This window comes from Homo sapiens, chromosome 9, assembly GCF_000001405.40.
Source record: "Homo sapiens chromosome 9, GRCh38.p14 Primary Assembly".
In the NCBI taxonomy this organism is placed as follows: Eukaryota; Metazoa; Chordata; class Mammalia; order Primates; family Hominidae; genus Homo; species Homo sapiens.
The window spans coordinates 37042586-37062382 of NC_000009.12; the positions used below are offsets into that span (position 1 = coordinate 37042586).

At 44.2% G+C, this 19797-nt stretch overlaps 1 pseudogene, besides 1 other annotated feature; it reads left to right on the forward strand.

Moving 5' to 3' along the window:
- RPL32P21 (ribosomal protein L32 pseudogene 21) lies at window positions 4196-4700 on the forward strand (annotated as a pseudogene).
- Window positions 11282-11834: an enhancer, noted in NCBI's record as "NANOG-H3K4me1 hESC enhancer chr9:37053864-37054416 (GRCh37/hg19 assembly coordinates)". NCBI's record gives its function as "activates a minimal SCP1, AML or CMV promoter by ChIP-STARR-seq in primed H9 embryonic stem cells {active_cell/tissue: H9 hESC(primed)}" and the evidence as "EXISTENCE:reporter gene assay evidence [ECO:0000049][PMID:30033119]".

Genomic DNA, 19797 nt, shown 5'->3' on the forward strand with positions numbered 1-19797 from the left:
AGATGAGAGCCTCCTGCCTCAAGTTGCTCGAAGCCACACTGAAGAAATAAGCCTTTAATCCACAGAAGAACTTGATCCGGCTTTTTTTTTTTTTTTTTTTTTTTTTTGAGACTATCTTGTTCTGTCCCCCAGGCTGGAGTGCAGTGGCACGATCTCAGCTCACTGAAACCTCTGACTCCCAGGTTCAAGTGATTCTTGTACCTCAGCCTCCCAAGCAGCTGGGATTTCAGGCACACACCACCACACTTGGCTAATTTTTGTATTTTTAGTAGAGACAGGGTTTCACCATGTTGGCCAAGCTGGTCTCCAACTCCTGGCCTCAAGTGATCCGCCCACCTTGGCCTCCCAAAGTGCTGGGATTATAGGCATGACCCACTGCACCTGGCCCAGGCTTTTAATTATATACAATTAGGAAAACAAAAGTGGAGTCCTCCCTTCCTGCTAAGGAAATCTATGAAGATTTCTTAAAGGAGGCAGCATTTGATCTGGAAGAGTGAGTTGGAAAAGAAAGGGAAAAGGATGCTACAGACCAACAGTTCAATATGATGAGCAATGGCTCGGAGGGAGAAAATGCTTGGCTTATTTAAGAACTGGCAAGGCAGGAGAATAGAGAGAATTCCCTGGTGATGAAATTGAGACCAGTTGAGGAAACAAGAGTCCTCAAGGACTGCATTAATCTTATTTTTTTTTTGAGACAAGGTCTCACTCTGTCACCCAGGCTGGAGTGCAGTGGTCCCACCATGGCTTACTGCAGCCTTGATCTCCCATGCTCAAGTGATTGTCCTGCCTCAGTTTCCTGAATACCTGGGACTACTGGCATGAGCCACCATGCCCTGCTAATGTTTGTATTTTTTGTAGAGACAGGGTTTCACCAGGTTGTCCAAGCTGGTCTCGAACTCCTGGGCTTAAGCCATCCACCTGCCTTGGCTTCCCAAAGTGCTGGGATTACAAGCATGAGCCACCACACCCAGCCTAGAGCAATCTTAAGGTCTGATCCACTTACACACCCCAGGGTTTGCTACTCCCAGGTAACACTCACGGGAACATCCGAACTTCCTTTGGAGATTTGCAAGACTCTCTTGCTGGCCTCCCTGGCTGAGCAGGAGTCACTATGCCTGCTTTTGTGGGCTTTTCTGTCTGCACTCTGTCTAGGGTTATTCCACTAGTGAGCATATCAGACTCCCCCTGGGTGCCACACTTATGTGAATGCCTTTGTCACACTGTCATGGCTCCTTGTCCTCTTCCCTTCCTCTCATGAAAGCAGTGAGACAGTGTCTGATCCCTCTTTGCAACCCCAAAAACAGCACAGGAGTTGCACATAAAAATGCTCATTTGAGAGTCTGATGAATGAATAAATGTGGTGAAGGTAAAATCCTCCCTGAACTGGTCCTCTGCAGCCCATGACTCTAGCTCTCACTTCACCACATCCTAGAAGCATGACGTCACCTCTGTGCCCCTCAGTTTGCTAACCTATAAAATGGGCAGAATAAGTGCCACCCACTCAACCTATTTCTCATGGCAATTGTGAGGACCAAATGATATAACAGCTGGGATTTGCTTCACAAAGTATTGTTAGGATGGGTTTGGAATTCCCCAATGCTGCTTACAGAAAATCTTTTTTTTTTTTTTTTTTTTTTTTTTTTTTTTTGAGACGGAGTCTTGCTCTGTCACCCAGGCTGGAGTGCAATGCCATGATCTCGACTCGCTGCAACCTCTGCCTCCCAGGTTCAAGCGATTCTCCTGCCTCAGCCTCCAGAGTAGCTGGGATTACAGGCGCCTGCCACCATGCCTGGCTAATTTTTGTATTTTTAGTAGAGATGGGGTTTTACCTTGCTGGCCAGGCTAGTCTAAAACCCCTGACCTTGCGATCCACCCGCCTCGGCCTCCCAAAGTGCTGGGACTACACGTGTGAGCCACCGTGCCCGGCAGAAAACCTTTTTTGGTAACCTAAATGCATTTCTCCTTTGGTAGAGGAGCCAATGGCCCAGCATTGGACAGGAGGTATGAATGTAGGTATGTATAGGAAGAGGCCGACAGTACTCATGGGTTGAAAAATTGTGTTTGTTTTTAAAGTATCCTTTTCCAGCGCTGAAAGAGAGAAAGCAAAGAACAAAAAATTCACCTTAAGCACATCTGAGAGCCATAAGGTTAACAGCTGTCATGGTACTGCTGCTAAAATTCTGAAAAGACAATGTCAGATCTAGACTTGCTGGGATAAAACACAGCTGGCCACAGCTGAAAGGCAGAAAAATACCCTCAGATCCTAAAGGAAAAATGAAGAGACAAAATTGCAGTCGATAATGCATTAATGAGGTGAACTCTAGTGTATATACACACACACATACACGCACACAGACACACACCCTATAAATTGCAGAAAGAATTTCACTCTGTAGAAAAGAAGGCTCAGAAAGATAAGTCCTAAGTGTTCAGTCTGATTCTCCACCAACCCCCACCCTCAGGAGCCTTCCAGTGGGCATTCTTCTGAGAGAGAAACTAGAATAGGCCAGAGCATTTAAGATGGTGCAACCAGTAGTTTATTAATTAATGTACAGGCAGGGCGCAATGGCTCACTCCTGTAATCCCAGCAGTTGGGAGGCTAAGGTGGGTGGATCGCTTGAGTTCGAGATCAGCCTGGATAACATGGCAAAACCCTGTCTCTAGAAAAAATTACAAAAATTAGCCAGGGGTGGTGATGCATGCCTGTAGCCCCAGCTACTCAGGTGGCTAAGATGGCAGGATCACTTGAGCCTGGGAGGTTGAGGCTGCAGTGAGCCGTGATGGCACCACTGCACTCCAGCCTCAGTGACAGAGTGAGACACTGTCTCAAAAAAAAAATTAATGTACAAAGTGCCCCAACTTACAATGGGGTTGCATCCTGATAAACCCACCGTAAACTGAAGATACCTTAAGTCACAAATGTTGTTAATACACCTACCGAACACCATAGCTTAGCCTAGCCTACCTTAAACATACTCAGCATACTTACATTAGCCTACAGTAGGGCAAAATCATCTGGCCACACAACACATTACAGAGTGTCAATAGTTTAGCCCTGTGATCATGGGGCTGACTGAGATCTGAGGCTCCCTGCTGCTGCCCAGCATTGAGAGAGTGTCTTACTGCATATTCTGGTATGATACCCAGGGAAAAGAGCACAGTTCAGAATTTAGTATGATTTCCACTCAACACATGCTGCTTTCACACCATTGTAAAGTGGAAAAGTCCTAAGTAAAACCATCATAAGTTTGGGATCATCTATATTGCTAATTAAGTGATAATTAATTGGTAAATAGTTCATTAGTAGCATAGGGACTTTGGGTAGTGGGCCTTATTTAATTGTATGAACTGTATCCAGGCTGGCCTCTCTATAGCATCCCAGTGAACAGTGGTCCATTCTAAGGTTGAATACCTCCAGGGACAGTGAGCTTATGAACCCCTTGCCTTCTAGGCAGTCCTTTCCCTCACTGAGCACAAATTAGCTTCCATAAAGCTTCTTGCCACTGGTCTAAGTTCTGCTCTTTGGGAGTCATCACCCTCAGGAAAGAACAAACAAGGTGGCACAGCAAAGGATCCTGTGAAAAAAATCTGCTCTGAAATTCCAGAGGAAGAGATCTGCTCAGACAGATCTTTTCACGGGAACCCTCACTGTGCCACTTTGAAGGGCATTAAAACATCTCCTCTATGTCTTTGGATGTCTTTGGAATAACCCCATTTGGAAGGGATGGTGGTTTTGGAATGTTAACTAGAGGAAGCACATTCAGGAGTAAAGCAAGGGCAGGATTATGGAGCTGAGAGCCTAATCTTATAGAAAACTTCTGCAACCCCATTCCCCTGGCTGTGTCCCATTGAGATACACATTCGCATACAATCTATTTTTAAAAGGACATTCGCTGCCCGGCACGGTGGCTCATGCCTGAAATCCCAGCACTTTGGGAGGCTGAGGTGGGCAGATCATTTGAGGTCAGGAGTTTGAGACCAGCTTGGCCAACATGGTGAAATCCCATCTCTACTAAAAATACAAAAATTAGCCAGGCGTGGTGGCCTGTGCCTGTGATCCCAGCTACCTGGGAGGCTGAGGCAGGAGAACAGCTTGAATCCGGGAGGCAGAGGTTGCGGTGAACCGAGATCGCACCACTGCACTCCAGGTTGGGCAACAGAGTGAGACTCTGTCTCAGAAAATAAAAGGACATTGCCCTTTCTTCCTCGGTGCTGCCTGTGGAGGTGGCAGCAACCTCCTACTCACATCATGGCTGCCCTCAGACCCCTCATGAAGCCCAAGATTTTCAAAAAGAGGAACAAGACATTCATCCGGCAGCAGTCAGACTGATATGTCAAAATTAAGTGTAACTGGCAGACACCTAGAGGTATTGACAACAGGATTCAGAGAAGGTTCAAGAGCCAGCTCTTGATGTCCAACATTGGTTATGGGAGCAACAAAAAGACAAAGCACATGCTGCCCAGTAGCTTACAGAAGTTCCTGGTCCACAACGTCAAGGAGCTGGAAGTGCTGCTGAGGTGCAACAAATCTTACTGTGCTGAGATCGCTTACAATGTTTCCTCCAAGAACCACAAAGCAATTGTGGAAAGAGCAGCCCAGCTGGCCATCAGACTCACCAGTCACAAAGCAAGGCTATGCAGCAAAGAAAATGAATAGACAGCCCATGTGCCCATTTTATTTCTGTTTAAATAAAAACTGCAAAAGGAAAAGAAAAAGAAAAGAAAAGGACATTGCTACAAGAACCACTGTGAAATCATAGGCCCATATGCTAAAACGGCTGTGGGAGACAGCTGAGTCCATCCCTTCTCCCATTTTGCAGATGGAGACACTAAGGCCCAGAGAAGGAAATAGAATTGCCAAAGGTTCTACAGTGAGTTCATGGGAGGGGCAAGACTAATGAGAAAAGGGACATCTCTTGGACATCACTGGGCACTGTGCTTTGCATACATGATCATATTCCATCCTCAAAACAAACCTGTGCAGCAGGTTTTGTTAGTACTCCGGTTTCACAGATGAAGCCTCAAATCTGAGGCTCAGACCTGGGAAGTTGCCCAGGATCACACAGTTAGGAGATGGCAGAGCTGGAATTTGAAAGCCAGTCTGATTTTCCACACAAATCGTTTGACCACTAACACTTTCGGGTTGCCTAAAACCCAGGCCCCGTCTCCCCACTCCCCTAAGTCCACTCTATCCCTGTAGTCCTCCATTATGTTACATTGACTCCTAAAGAAAAAAGATCCAGATGGTCACAGCTTTGGAGGATTTGCAAAGCACTTCTGTGCCTTCCTGCACATCATCTCAGGAGATCCTGATACCAGACCGAGCTTGTAGCCTGGCCAGAAATAGCATGCTCATTTCACAAAGCAAGAACTGTTGGGTTTCCTTCAATCTAATGATTTCACCACCATCTGTGCGATAGCTGAGCAAAGTCAACAGGTTGATAAACTCCTGTGGTAGGAATGGGGACCCTTGACCTGCCAATAGGGAAGAACAGACATACAGAACTTGGCCAGGGAAACTTTTAATCCAGAAGAAAAAAGTGTATTTTCTCTCCTTATATGTTATAAATAGAATAATGAGATAATCCTGGATTTTAAAAACTCAACTCTGGTGTTTATATTTTAATTTATTCTCAGAAGGGTAGGAGGGTCTAGAGGAAATGCAAAATGTGAGTCTTATTTTATGATTTGCTATGGTAAGCCACATTTAATCCCGTTCTTCAGTGAAAGGATTTACGAAGGATACAACACAATGTACCTGTCTGTTGCCTTCATTGTATTTTTTCCCAGATTTTTATTTAGTTTGCAATGTTACAACAATAAGGGAAATTAAAAGGAAAGAAAATTATCCATAATCCTACCACCCTAACAAATGAACTGTTCAGTGTTCCTCTTACTTCAGGCAAAATTTACATAGTTGATTTATGAGTGTAGTTACAGCCTCGCATTCATTCGGCTTTCACACCTGACAGTTTATCATTATAATGCCACAGGTTTTCATGATTATCATTTAAAAATAAATGTTTTAATAATTATTTTAATGGCTGCTTAATACTCTTTTAAGTGGATATATCATTCCCTAGTATTATATATTTAGAAGGACTCCCATTTTTCACTATCACAGATAATCCCAAAGTGCATGTCTTCATACATATCACATTCTCCTATTTTTGCCATTTCTTTAAAATCCCCGGATCTAGATTTTGCTGGGTCAAAGGGCCTGAATGCTTGCACGGCTCTTGATATATATGGGCAAATCGCTTTGCCAAAGGATTTTATACATTTACTTTGCCTCTAGTAATGGATGAGGAGGATAGTCTCATACCATGCTCTTGCCACAACCAAGGGAAATCTACCAACAAATGAAATGTAACTTGATAAGCAATGTTTTTACTTCATTTTGACAAATGGCTTGACAAGCCTGTCGCAGGATCTCTATTCTCTTATCTCTGTTGCTGTCATAAATTAAGTGCCTATACCAAGAATTTGGGAAAGCGCCAAAGCAATTATTATACCCATTTTATAGCTGAGGAAACTGAGTCTCAAACCAGGGTTTTCCCCAATAGGCTGGACAGTGAGTAAGTGGAAGTGCTGAGACTTTGGTAATATCATCAACTGTCGTGAACCAAAGATGATGCATTGGTTTCTTATAACCTCCTGGAATGTTTTCTGGGGTTTATTTTGTTTTTTAATCCCCCAGGTTTTTGGAGAAGCTGGGAAACGTGTTTACATCAGGTATGTTTGTAACTTCTCTTTAACAAGTATCATCATCCTCTGCCAGCCTCCAATTGCTACTTAAAGCACGTGCTTAGTTTGGAGGAGACTTTTGATATATTTTTTTTGCTGGAGAATCTCTCACCTTCAAAGCTGGAAGGAATGTCAGAGAGAATCTCATACCACTGGCTTATTTTGGAGATGGAGAAACTGAGGCCCAAAGAAGGGAAAGGACTTGCCCAGTTTCATTCACAGAGCTGGCAGCAGAGTTAGGATCTATGCCCTGGTTTAAAATGTTGCCTAGAGCACATCAGTGGGTCACTTGTGTTTTGTGAGATATTCATAAGTATAGTTTCTGTTTTCTCACTCCTGTTGCCCAGGTAAGAGTGCAGTGGCACAATCACGTCTCATTGCAGCCTCAACCTCCTGGGCTCAAGTGATGCTCCTGCCTCTTTTTTTTTTTTTTTTTTTTTTTTTAATTTTCTGTAGAAATGAGGTTTCACTATGTTATCCAGGCTGGTCTCAAACTCCTAGGCTCAAGTGATCCTCTTGCCTCAGCCTGCCAAAGTGTTGGGATTTCAGGCGTGAGCCACTGCATCTGGCCCATAAGTGAGTATTTTTTAAAAGCAGTGAGAACTATCTGAGAAACACTAGATACCTTATGTTTCTTTTGGAATTCCCTGGTGAAACAAGTCTCGGTAACACTAAGCTAATGTGAAACAGATTTATTTATTAAAGGACTTTCCAAAGTGTAATACCCCAAATGACATTTGTTTATTTTTATTTTGTTTTGGTGGGGTTTTTGTGTGTGTGTGTGTTTTGGTCACTGTTGTTTTATGTTGAGCAAATATTTTCTTTTTACTAGATTTTACTTTTAAATTATAATTTGCTCTTCTTTTTGGACTAGGGAGTACATACATATGGCTCAAATTTAAAAGGTACAGAGAGAACCTGAGGGAAAGTCTCTTCCTACCTCTGCCCCTCAACCACCCGGAAGTCTCTTCCTACCTCTGCCCCTCAACCACCCGGTATACCTCCCTGGTAACCTTGTAATCAGTGTTACCGTATTCTTGCAGAGTTATGTTTCCGCTTAATGATATATCTTGGTGATTGTTCCACACTGGTACTTTAAGGGCTTCCTTGTTCTTCTTCGTATATTTTTCCTGCAGCGGGGTATTCTGATCGATACGCATTTAAATCTCCAATTGGAAGATAGTCTCTACCCTTGGGGAGCATACAGTTTCCTGCAAAAATGAGGTGTGTTCATTATGGCTGCTGAAAGAAGGGAGCAGGTGCACTGGGAAGAGATAGGAAGTATGGTAGGCAAGCAGAGGAAAGAGGTCACTCTGAGTTGAGTTTGGATATTGGATGGGAGCTGGGACCTGAGAAACTGCCTGTTGCAGGTGAGTCTCCGGCTGATGGACAGTGACAAAGTGTCTTTTGTTTTAAAACAAAGAAGGTCAACATGTGTATAGATCTGGCCAACATGAACATTTAGCTGCTGAGCCCAAAAGCTTGATTTTTATTAGCTATATTTGTTGCCCATATATTGGAACAGATCTTAAAGTGGAAGTCAGATGTGTATTATCAGATACCATTTGGAGTAATGAGTGTATTTTCCTAATCTTTCCAACACCAACCTAAAAACTCATCTCAAAAGCATGCATACTAATTAATTTGTTTTCCATATAGTAATAAGATTAACAACCTCGCATTTACACGGGGTACTGAGTCATGCTCAAATAAAACAAGTTCTAATGAGAAAAATTGAATGTGGCAGCAAATCATGTCCCACCCGGCAATCCAGGTTTATGTGTGTTTGTCTGTCTTTGCTACACGTATTTTTGTCAGGATCTCACTGTAAACAAGATGATTTCTCTCATGTTGGGTTAGTCTAGGTAAATTTGTTTAATGAACAACAAAGTCATTGTAAACATTGCACAAATCTGAGTGCCTGGCAGCATGGCTAGGAATCTTTTAAGCAGCTTCAAAAAATGAAACGTGTACACCAAAAAAAAACAATATTGAGAGAAAACACTATTAATATGTCAAGGCTCTTAGACATGCAGCCTGGCTCAATTCTATTCTGAACAATAGAAGAATTTGTGATGGGATGACATGTGATCTTGCACAGTCACTCTACCTCGCCGAATCTGGGCCTCAGTTTCTTCCTCTGTTAACTGGATAGCATCCACCTGCTAATCATCAGTATCAGCTGCAAGTGGAGGGTAGGAAGTGGGAGCTTTAAAATATACACATGGCCAAACTGCCCTACTAAATTCCAGTTCTATCAGACCCCAAAACCCTAATCTCTGGGGGCTGGGGTCCCAGGATCTACAATTTTAAAAACAAATTTTTCATGTGATTTGATGATCAGGCAGGTTTGGGACCCTCTGAACTAGACAGATTACCACTAAGATCTTTTCCAGATTTCATGACCATCAAAACTGATGATTCTAAAAACTCATCTTGGAAAATACTGTTGTGTGTCTGGGCAGAAGAAGAACACTGGTAAGGGAGGCAGGATTCTGGATTTGAGTCCTAGGGCTCCCCTCAAGCTATCCAGGGGACACTGGAAAAGCCATGCCAGGCGCAGTGGCTCACGCCTGTAATCCTAGAACTTTGGGAGGCTGAGGCGGGTGGATCACCTGAGGTCAGGAGTTCAAGAGCAGCCTGGCCAACATAGTGAAACCCCATCTATACAACAATACAAAAATTAGTCGGGCATAATGACAGGTGCCTATAATCCCAGGTACTCCGGAGGCTGAGATGGGAGAATCACTCGAACCCGGGAGATGGTGGTTGCAGTGAGCCGAGATCACACCACTGCACTCTAGCCTGGGCAGCTGAGCAAGACTCCCATCTCAAAAAAAAAAAAAAAAAAGTCACTTCACTCTGGACCTTAGTCTCTTTATCCACAAAGTAAAGGCACTGGAGCAGGCAGTCTCAGGGCCTTCCTCTCACATTCTGCAGCCTAATTCTGATTCCTTTGGGATTCATTGCACATAAATCCTTTGGTGACTGAATACAGAGACTGGTCAGGGAGGCTGGTTGGGTTCATCTGCGGTAGCGTACCCATTCTTCCTGAGGCCTAGGGAATCTCTTCTGCCTTCTACCCTTGGTGGGTCCCACCCCTCCAGCTCTTTCAGAGGGGCTGAGGGTGTGTTCTGGCCCAGAGCCAGGCACCTCCTCAACCCCTACTCCTTTCTTCCATTTAGGACTCAACTTATTCCAGCTTTTTCTGTTCCTCCAAGACAAGATCTATGAAAGATCCCCGATACCTTATCCCTCAGAGACCCCCTACATAGTAAATCCCCAAAAGTATCTGAGAAATGAGAATGATTGAGTGAATGAATGTCACAGGATAGTCCTTCCAGCTGCTTTTTTTTTTTTTTTTTTTTTGAGACAGAGTCTTGCTCTGTTTCCCAGGCTAGAGTGCAGTGGCACGATCTCGGCTCACTGCAACCTCCGCCTCCCAGGTTCAAGCGATTCTCCTGCCTCAGCCTCCCTAGTAGCTGGGATTACAGGTGCCCGCGACCATGCCCAGCTAATTTTTGTATTTTTAGTAGAAACGGGGTTTCACCATGTTGGCCAGGATGGTCTCAAACTCCTGACCTCATGATCCGCCCGCCTTGGCCTCCCAAAGTGCTGGGATTACAGGTATGAGCCACTGTGCCTGGCTTCCAGCTTTAACATTCAATGCCTCTATCCCTCTCTGTCCTCAGAGGGTTGGTTCATCCTCAGTGAGGTGAAAGAGGACAAAGTCTTGTCAGGTCTAGATACAGCATAGGACCATGCAAAGAGTGGGCCGCTTCAGCCAAACGTCGAGCCTGTCAGTTTTACTAACTTCATATAAATGGGATTATACTGGATGTATTCTCTGTGTCTTGTTTTTCACCCAACATTATATTCTATATCCTTACTAGGATGGGGATTATCAGGGATCACTTTTAATTATTCATTAAACTATATACATATGCTTTCTGCATTTTCAGTATCTGCACTATACTTCACAATAAAAGAAGAATTCAGGGAACCCAAGACAATTAGCATTTGTTTTCAACTGACAACCTAGAATGAGTGTTCTCTTTTAGTCTTAAAAAAAAAAGTGGTTGGGTGTAGTGGCTCACATCTGTAATCCCAGAACTTTGGGAGGTGGAGGCAGGAGGATCACTTGAGACCAAGAATTCAAGACTAGCCTGGACAACATGGCAGATCCTCATCTCTACAAAAAATAAAAAATTAACTGGGCAAGGTAATGCCTGTAGTCCCAGCAACTCGGGAGGCTGAGGCAGGAGGATCACCTGGCAGCAGTAAGCCAAGATCACGTCACTACACTCCAGAGTGACAGCCTGTCTCAAAAAAAAGAAAAAAGTGACTTGGAACCTGCAAGATCTTCACAAAAGGTAAGAACCTTGGGGAAGTTTTTCACCTGGGAACTTTACCTGAAAGCTTGTCATTTTTTCACCCCTTGGCGAGTATTCAGTCAACAGAAGCATTGCCCTCACTTTATGGGTCACACATCACATGGGACTGTGTCTCTCCTACCAAGTGGTCTAATCTGTCTGAGCTTTAGTTTCTTCATATGGAAAACGATGATGTCACTGGCAGCATGGTGGGGGTTGTGGAGGATGCCGACATAAATGAAGTATGAGGACACGACTTACCATACTCTACGATTGGGTCTAAAATCTGCACATGTGGCAAGGTAACAGTGTGGAAAATGGGGGTTATATGCTTTGTGTTGGTAAACTTGAGAAAGAGTTAGGGGAAATCATTTTCCACTAGGAGACCCAGTTCAGCAACACTTTAGTATTTACCTGCCTGGGCTGCCTCATGCATTGCTCTGTGGGGAGTCAGGGTTTAATGAAGTGGGATAAACCACACACACACATTAGTTAGCATCAGCACAGGCAGGATTAACTTTACACTCCATTTGCAAGAGAAAAGCTCCTCTCCTAGAGTTTGTTATAAAGGGATTTAGAATCACAGAATGATAGAGCTGGAAGACAGCCCCTAAGACATCACCATAATCCTACCCTGTCATTTTACAAAGGGTCAAACTGAAGTCCAGAGAGCAGAAGAGACCTGTCCAAGGTCACCTCCTCAATTAGCACAGAGCTCAGGTTGGACCCCAGTCTCCAGATCCCCAGGCCGGCATCCTCTCCACTTTCTCCTGTATTGCTTAACCACTGCCTTGTAACAAAGGCGGGGTAGCACATTTCTCTTTCTGGCTTTGCTCTATACCCTTGATACTCACACCCTCCATATTCAGTTTTCATGGTGTATGAGCAAGATTTGCATGTATCCAACTGAGCCAGGCTCCCTCATGTCAGTGTAGCTTTGCATTTGCTGTTTCCTTTGTCTTCACTGGTCTTCCCTCTCTACTCTTTCCAGAGAGACTCTATTCAGTGTTGCCTTCCCCAGGAATTCTTCTCTGAACTATGCCCTCTCCCATCTCTCTAGACTTTGAGCTCCTCTAGAATAGGGACTACATCTTTGTATCTCACTGCCTAGCAGAGGAATGGCATGTGGCAGACACAGGGTAAAAATTTGTTGAATGAATAAATGGCCAGATAAAATAATAATTAAATGCACAAATGAATGAATGAAGTGAAACGCAGGTAGGAAGCAGTATGGGTCTCAAACAACCTGGAGCTCTTAACAACTTGCCAATTTAGCTCAAGTCCTTCCTTGTGGAGCTCTGGCCAGTTCTAGAAGTTTTTCATGACAACCATGGTCCATGACCTCTCTCCTTTGGATGGCCTCGACTCTGACCACATATCACTGAGCTGAATCTACCATAGCCCTAAGCTTTCATCTCAGGCCCCAAACAGACTGTCAATGAGCCATCGATTCTGTCCTTGCCACCATCTTCAACCAGTTTTCCCAGGGCTGCCTGCACTGGGGGATACACCTAGGAAATTTCCACATGAGACATGAAGCCTATGTCTTCAGGGTGACTGCGCCCCTCAGGGTGGAGTGCCAACACAGATTCCCCATGGGCATCTCAATTCTAGCAACTTGATTAGAGAAGGCACCTTCAGATGTCCCTTGTTTATATAGACTCCTGAGAGGGAAAGTTGGGAGTGTGTATAAGTACCTATATACATGTATATAACTGGGATAGGCATTGAAGTAGAAGTCAGGAGACTAGGGGTTCAGCCCCAACTTTGTCAGCATGGCAAAATGGTTAAGCATATGGACTCTGGAATTGTACTGCTGGGTTAGAATCCCAGCTCTCGCACTTACTAGCTGTTCAGCCTTGGGGAGGTTACCTAACTGTGGTGTGCTTCATTTCCCCACCTATAGAATGGAGACAATGATATTCTCTGCCTCATAGAGCTGCTGTGAAGAACACATGAGGTAGGCTGGGCTCCGTGGCTCACACCTGTAATCCCAGTGCTTTGAGAAGCCAAGACGAAAGGATCGCTTGAACCCAGGAGTTTGAGACTGCAGTGAGCTATGTATGATCATGCCACTGCACTCCAGTCTGGGTGACGGAGTGAGACCCAGTCTCTGAAAAAAAAAAAGAATATGTGAGGTAATATATGTAATGTGTTTAGAATAGCGCCAGGCACATATTAAGTGTTAAATAAATGTTAGGAATTATTATTTTCTCAGACCCTTAGTTCTTGTTATTCCTTCTGCCTAGAATGTTCTACCCTCTGGCTTTCTGCATGCCCAGCTCCTTCTCCTTCAAGTCTCCACTTAATGTCGTCTCCTCAGGGAGACCTTCCTTGACCACACCTAGAATATATTTTCCCCCTCACCCCTGCATCACTGAATACATGGAGAATGGACCAGGGTGTTTCTAAATCCCTTCTGGTTCTTATCTTGTGTATTTTCCACAATGTTATTATTTTTTAGGCACAGGGTTCCTCCCATAAGCCTAGGCTATTCATTTATGTGATTAACACAGAGTAACAAACTTGTAAACTGCAGGCATATTTGATTTGGAACAAGCTGAGTGGGCCACTGATTGTATTTCCAGTTTGCATCTGTTCCTTCTTGTTACATCTTTACTTCTGTGCCAGGAGTATCATTGCCAAAAGTGGTCAGAGACTTAAAAGTTTGCTTTTTCCTTTTGGCGGCATCAGTAAACTGAATTATTAAAGTTTTGTCTTCCCTCTTTGAAACTCCCAAAAGAAAAGAAATCACAAAAACAAATCTTGGCATACAAAGAAAATGAGACAAAGAATGTAATCATAATACTAGCGAATGGTTTTCAGACTGACATCTGTACATTAAGAATATGTAAAAATACCAATTTCATGCTCTGACAACTTATTCTGCATCAGGGGTGGGGTAATGCCTTGGGAATGCCAAATGTCAAAGCATTACATAATGTCAGCTATTCATGTGCTTCTTTGATGAGCTATCACTGGGATTCCTTAAGGGAATGGAATGGGAATGGGAATGGGAATTCCTTAAGGGAGAGATGTCTTAAAAAGTGGAGGGGAGAGGGAAAGCATAAGAAAAGGAAAGAAAGGAAGGAAAGAAGGGACAAAGGAAGAGAGATGCTGTCAAAATCATGATGAGTAATTGTGTAAAGAAAAGTTAACATGTGTGTGTATATATACATATATAGATAGATATATATGTTTTTTTTTTTTTTGAGACAGAGTCTCCCTCTGTCACCCAGGCTAGAGTGCAGTGGTTCGATCTCAGCCCACTGCAACCTCCAACTCCTGGGTTCAAGTGATTCTCATGCCTCAGCCTCTGAGTAGCTGGAATTACAGGCACGTGCCACCAAACCCAGCTAATTTTTGTATTTTAGTAGAGACGGGGTTTCACCATGTTGGCCAGGCTGGTCTCAAACTCCTGACCTCACGTGATACACCCACTTCGACCTCCCAAAGGGAGGAGATTACAGGTGTGAGCCATCATGCCCTGCCTATATATTTTTAAACAGTACATACAATCCCAAATCTAAGCCACCATATGTGGGGTTTACTTATCTCTGTTTTGATTTTCCACAATTAGAACATGCACGTTTAATTTCTTTTCTTTCATAGGTGTTGCTTTTTTTTTTGCCTGAATTTTTGTAACATCCACAGAAATCCAAGTGAAAAATGTTTCCATCATCCTATTGCTCCAAGTAATCAAACTTGCTGATTATTTTCTGTTCTGTTCTAGTTTTTGTCCAAATGCATAATATCCCACAGTGGCTATGATAAGCAAAAATTCACATGCCTTCTAAAACTGTATCATAGGAATTTCCCCACATTATTATATGGACTTCATAATGACCACCTTAATTATTTAAGACTATTCTGAAGTATACTCACTTGTACTATAATTTACTTACCCATTCTCATGTTATTGTACTTTAGGGTACCTCCCCACTTTTTATAGTTATAGGTAGTACCTATTAAATGTCTTTCATATTCAACATGCTTTTAATGCATTCAACAAACTCTTTTTTTTTTTGAGAGGGTTTTGTCTCACTTTGTCACTTAGGCTGGAGTATAGGTGGTAAGATCTCAGCTCACTGCAACCTCGGCCTCCCAGGCTGAAGCGATCTTCCCACCTTAGCCTCCTGAGTAGCTGGTACTACACACATGTGCCACCATGCCTGGTAATTATTATTATTATTATTATTATTTTTGTATTTTTGGTAGAGACAGGGTTTTGCCATGTTGCCCAGGCTGGTCTTGAACTCCTGAGCTCAGGAAATCCTCCCACCTTGGCATCCCAAAGTGCTGGGGTTACAGGCGTGAACTACCACCCTTGGCCCGCATTGAACAAACTTTTATATGACATGTGCTGTGTTCGACAGTAGGGATTATCTGGAAGGATCCTGCTTCAGGGTCTAGGGACGGAGATGGACAAATGGACACACAAATGCAATTCAGAGCTCCAGTGCCTTGCTTCCCAAAGTGCGGTTCATCGACAAGAAGCATCAGCATCACCTGGAAGCTTCTTAGAATGGAAACTCTCAGGCCTCGCCCTAGACCTACTGAATGAGAATCTGAATTTTAACAAGATCCCCAGATGATTCATGTGTACATGAAAAGCTTGAGTAATCTGCCAATCCAGGGTTTTTCTACCTCGATGGGTCACTTGATTGATAATTCCTGGTCTCTTCAGCCTCTTCTCTACTTTTCCACAGCCATAAGCATGCTCAGGTCTCTCTTACCTTAAAAAATCCAGTAAAAAATCCAGTAAAAAATCTACAAACCTCCCTTGACTTGGGTCCCTCTCTAGTATGGGCTTCATAAGAAGACCTTCTGTGTGTTCCTCCATAATCGTATCTCCCACACCCTCCTCAATCCAGAGCACTCTGATTTCTGCTCCCCACTTCACTCAGACTGCTCTGAAGATGGGCTCCGGGGCCCCCCTAGCTCCCCACACATCCAGTGGCCTCTCTAGTTTTCATTTCCCTTTCTTTCCCAGTGTTATCAGACACCACAATCAATTCTGTCTCCCAAACTCTCTTCCCAAAGTCACCAGTCCCTCTCAGTTTTCTCCTATTTCTCTTACCATGGTATCCAATCCTTCCCCCTCAATCCTTCAGCTCCCTGGTCTGCCTCTTAAACCTTGAGGTTCAACTCCAGGGTGCTGTCCTTGATTCTCTTCTCACTCTACACATTGCCCCTCAGTAAGTTCATTCCTGCCCGAGATTGCAATGATCATCTCTTGACTGAAGACTCCCCAATACACAACACATGTAGATGCAGAGCTCTCTCTTCCTGTGCCTTTCTTCTCTCTCCAATTGCCCACCAGGCTTTAGCACCTGGATGTCCCAGCACTTCAAAGTCAGTGAGTTCAAGAGTGGTCCCCTTAAACATCTACCATTTCTCTGGTTTCTCTGTCTCAATAAATGGTTTCACCAGCCACCCAGTGATTCTCCCCTCCTCCCCCACCCCCAACAAGTCACTATGTACTGTTGATTCTTTCTCTGCTCCATCTCTCAGATCTATACCCCATGTCATTCCCCTGATTTAGTTCTCGTCACCTCTCTCCAGGATGACTACCACAGTTGCTCAACCGGTCTCCTTGCCTCTGCTCCCACCCTCAACACCCCAACCTTCTCCAATCTAAAGTGATGGTATTATTTATAATACGAAAATATGATCCTTTGTTTTTTTGAGACACAGTGTGTCACTCTGCTGCCAAGGCTGGAGTGTAGGTGACACAATCACGGCCCACTGCAGCCTCATCCTCCCTGGACTCAGGCAATCCTCCCACCCCAGCCTCCCAAGTAGCTGGGACTCCAGGCATGCACACCCCCATGCCCAGCTAATGTTTGTGTTTTTTGTAGAGACAGGGTTTCAACATTCTGCTAGGCTGGTCTTGAACTCCTGGGCTCAAGCAATCTGCCCATCTTGGCCTCCCAAAGTGCTAGGATTATAGGCATGAGCCACCGTGCCTGGCCTCGAAAATATGATCTTAACATATCTCTGTGACTGCTGTTAAATCTTTCCAAGGATGTCCAGACGTATTCAGTCAAAACCTCAGAGAGGTAGGATGAAGACGGGAGTTTTGCTGTTCCATTCTCCCTCAACTGCAAATTACTGGCCAACAAATAACATCCTTGGGCCAGGCGCAGTGGCTCACACTTGTAATCCCAGCACTTTGGGAGGCCAAGGCAGGAGGATTGCTTGAGCCCAGGAGTTCAAGACCAGCCTGGGCAACATAGTGAGACTGTCTCTTTTAAATAATAATACTAAAATAAATAATAAAGAAAAAAAAGACAAATAACATCCTTGGCCCTGCACTTCAGGCACTACAGAACCAGCAAAGTCCTTGGGAATTAAAAGAATACTCCCTTCCGGCCCGGCACAGAGGCTCACGCCTGTAATCCCAGCACTTTGGGAGGCCAAGGCAGGCGGATCACGAGGTCAGGAGATCGAAACCATCCTGGCTAATGTGGTGAAACCCCATCTCTACTAAAAATACAAAAAAATTAGCCGGGCGTGGTGGCGGGTGCCTGTAGTCCCAGCTACTCGGGAGGCTGAGGCAGGAGAATGGCATGAACCGGAGGTTGCAGTGAGCCGAGATTGTACCACTGCACTCCAGTCTGGTGACAGAGCTAGATTCTGTCTCAAAAACAACAACAACAACAACAACAACAACAAAAACTCCCTTCCTACTGCAAGGTCTGTGATAGACTTTAGAACAGCACAGAACCCTACAGAGAGAGGCTACTAAAGTAGGGGAGTTCTTACAAACTAGCACGTTGACTCTGCCAGCCCAGATATGGCCAAAAGATTCTACTACTTTCCCTTTCTTGGAGCATGTGTCTCCAGGCCACAGAGACCCCATGCAGTGGCGTGCTAATAACTGGCTCTCAGGGGGAGAATGTCCAGGTGTAAAGCAACTGCTGATTTTCTTAGTATATAAATATTCCCACAGTGGTTGATTTCAAGTTACCACCTCGATGGTGTTGAACACTTTGTTGGGAAGAGAGGCGCAGCAGCACATCATTATATAGCATCTCCACCATACAGATAAAATAGAGGTAACTTACCTTTAGAGCTAAGACAATAGTACAATAATTAGGGCTGGGCATGCTGGCTCATGCCTGTGATCCTAGCACTTTGGGAGGCTGAGGCAGGAGGATCGCTTGAGCCCAGGCATTTGAGACCAGTGTGGGCAACATAGGAAGACCCATCTCTATAAAATGTTAAATAGTAAAGTAGCAGGCATGGTGGCGAACATCTATAGTTCCACTTTCTCAGGAAGCTGAGCCGAGAGGTTCACTTGAGCCCAGGAGTTTGAGTTTACAGAGAGCTATGATTGTGCCACTGCACTGTAGCCTTGGCAACAGAGCAAGACTGTGTTCCAAAAACAAAACAAAACAAAAAAACTAGAATTAGGAAGTGAATTTTGAATATTTATTACCATTTGAAAAATATAACTTTTTTTTTTTTTTTTTGTGACAGGGTCTCACTCTGTCGCCCAGACTGGAGTGCAGTGGTGTGATCTCGGCTCACCACCACCTCTGCCTCCCGGGTACAAGTGATTCTCCTGCCTCAGCCTCCCGAGTAGCTGAGATTACAGGCAGGCGCCACTACCGCCCAGCTAATTTTTGTATTTTTAGTAGAGATGGGGTTTCACCATGTTGGCCAGGCTGGTCTCAAACTCCTGACCTCAAATGATCCACTTGCCTCAGCCTCCCAAACTGCTGGGATTACAGGCATGAGCCACTGCACCCAGGCTGAAAAATATAATTTATTGAATTGTAAGTTTATATAATTTAATTTATAAGAATGACTGGGCTTAACAACCAGCTTGCAAAATTCCTTAAGATTTGACAATCAGTTGTCATGAGCCAGTCTGAGTTAGCTCAGGCACAATGCTGCCTCTATCCCACCGTAACTGTGTTACCCCTCGCCTGGTCTCAGGCAATAGTCTCCTAACTGGCTTCACCTCCAGTCTCACCTTCCCTACGCTAGCCATTAGAAAGGGTGTAAAAAACATGTAATTGACCACATTACTCTTCTTAAAACCTTCCATGGGTCTTGATTGTCCTGAGGATAAAATCCAATTCCTTACCTACCATACCTGGACTTTTTGACCAGACCCAAACCTTCCTCTATAGCTTCCCAGTAAGTCTATTCTTTCACGGTGTTTTCCTCTCTTCCTCCATTCTCCAACATGCTGTGCTCCAGTCAGGCCAGCTCACTTGCAGTTTCACAAACACACAAAGCTGAGTCATGCCTCTATGCCATGGCTCTGGCAGAGCCTGATGGCTGGTGAGCTTCAGCCTGATCCTGGTTTCTGCACAGAGAACACTCACTCTTACGTCAAGATTCAGAGAATCACTTGTACAAACTTTTCTCATTCTCTTAGTTACATATGAACTCCTACTCTTGTGTTGCCATGAGCTCCATAATACTTCTCTCTTAGAAGCTGTGAGTACCTTACTTCACATTTCTTTTTCTTTTTTTGTTAGTAGAGATGAGGTCTTGCCTTGTTGCCCAGGCTGGTCTTGAACTCCTGGCCTCAAGCAATCCTCCTGCCTTGGCCTCCCAAAGTGTTGGGATTACAGGCATGAGCCACCGTGTCTGGCTGCATTTATTTATATATCTTTTTTTTTCTGTCGGATTATAAACACTCCATATAGGACTGGAG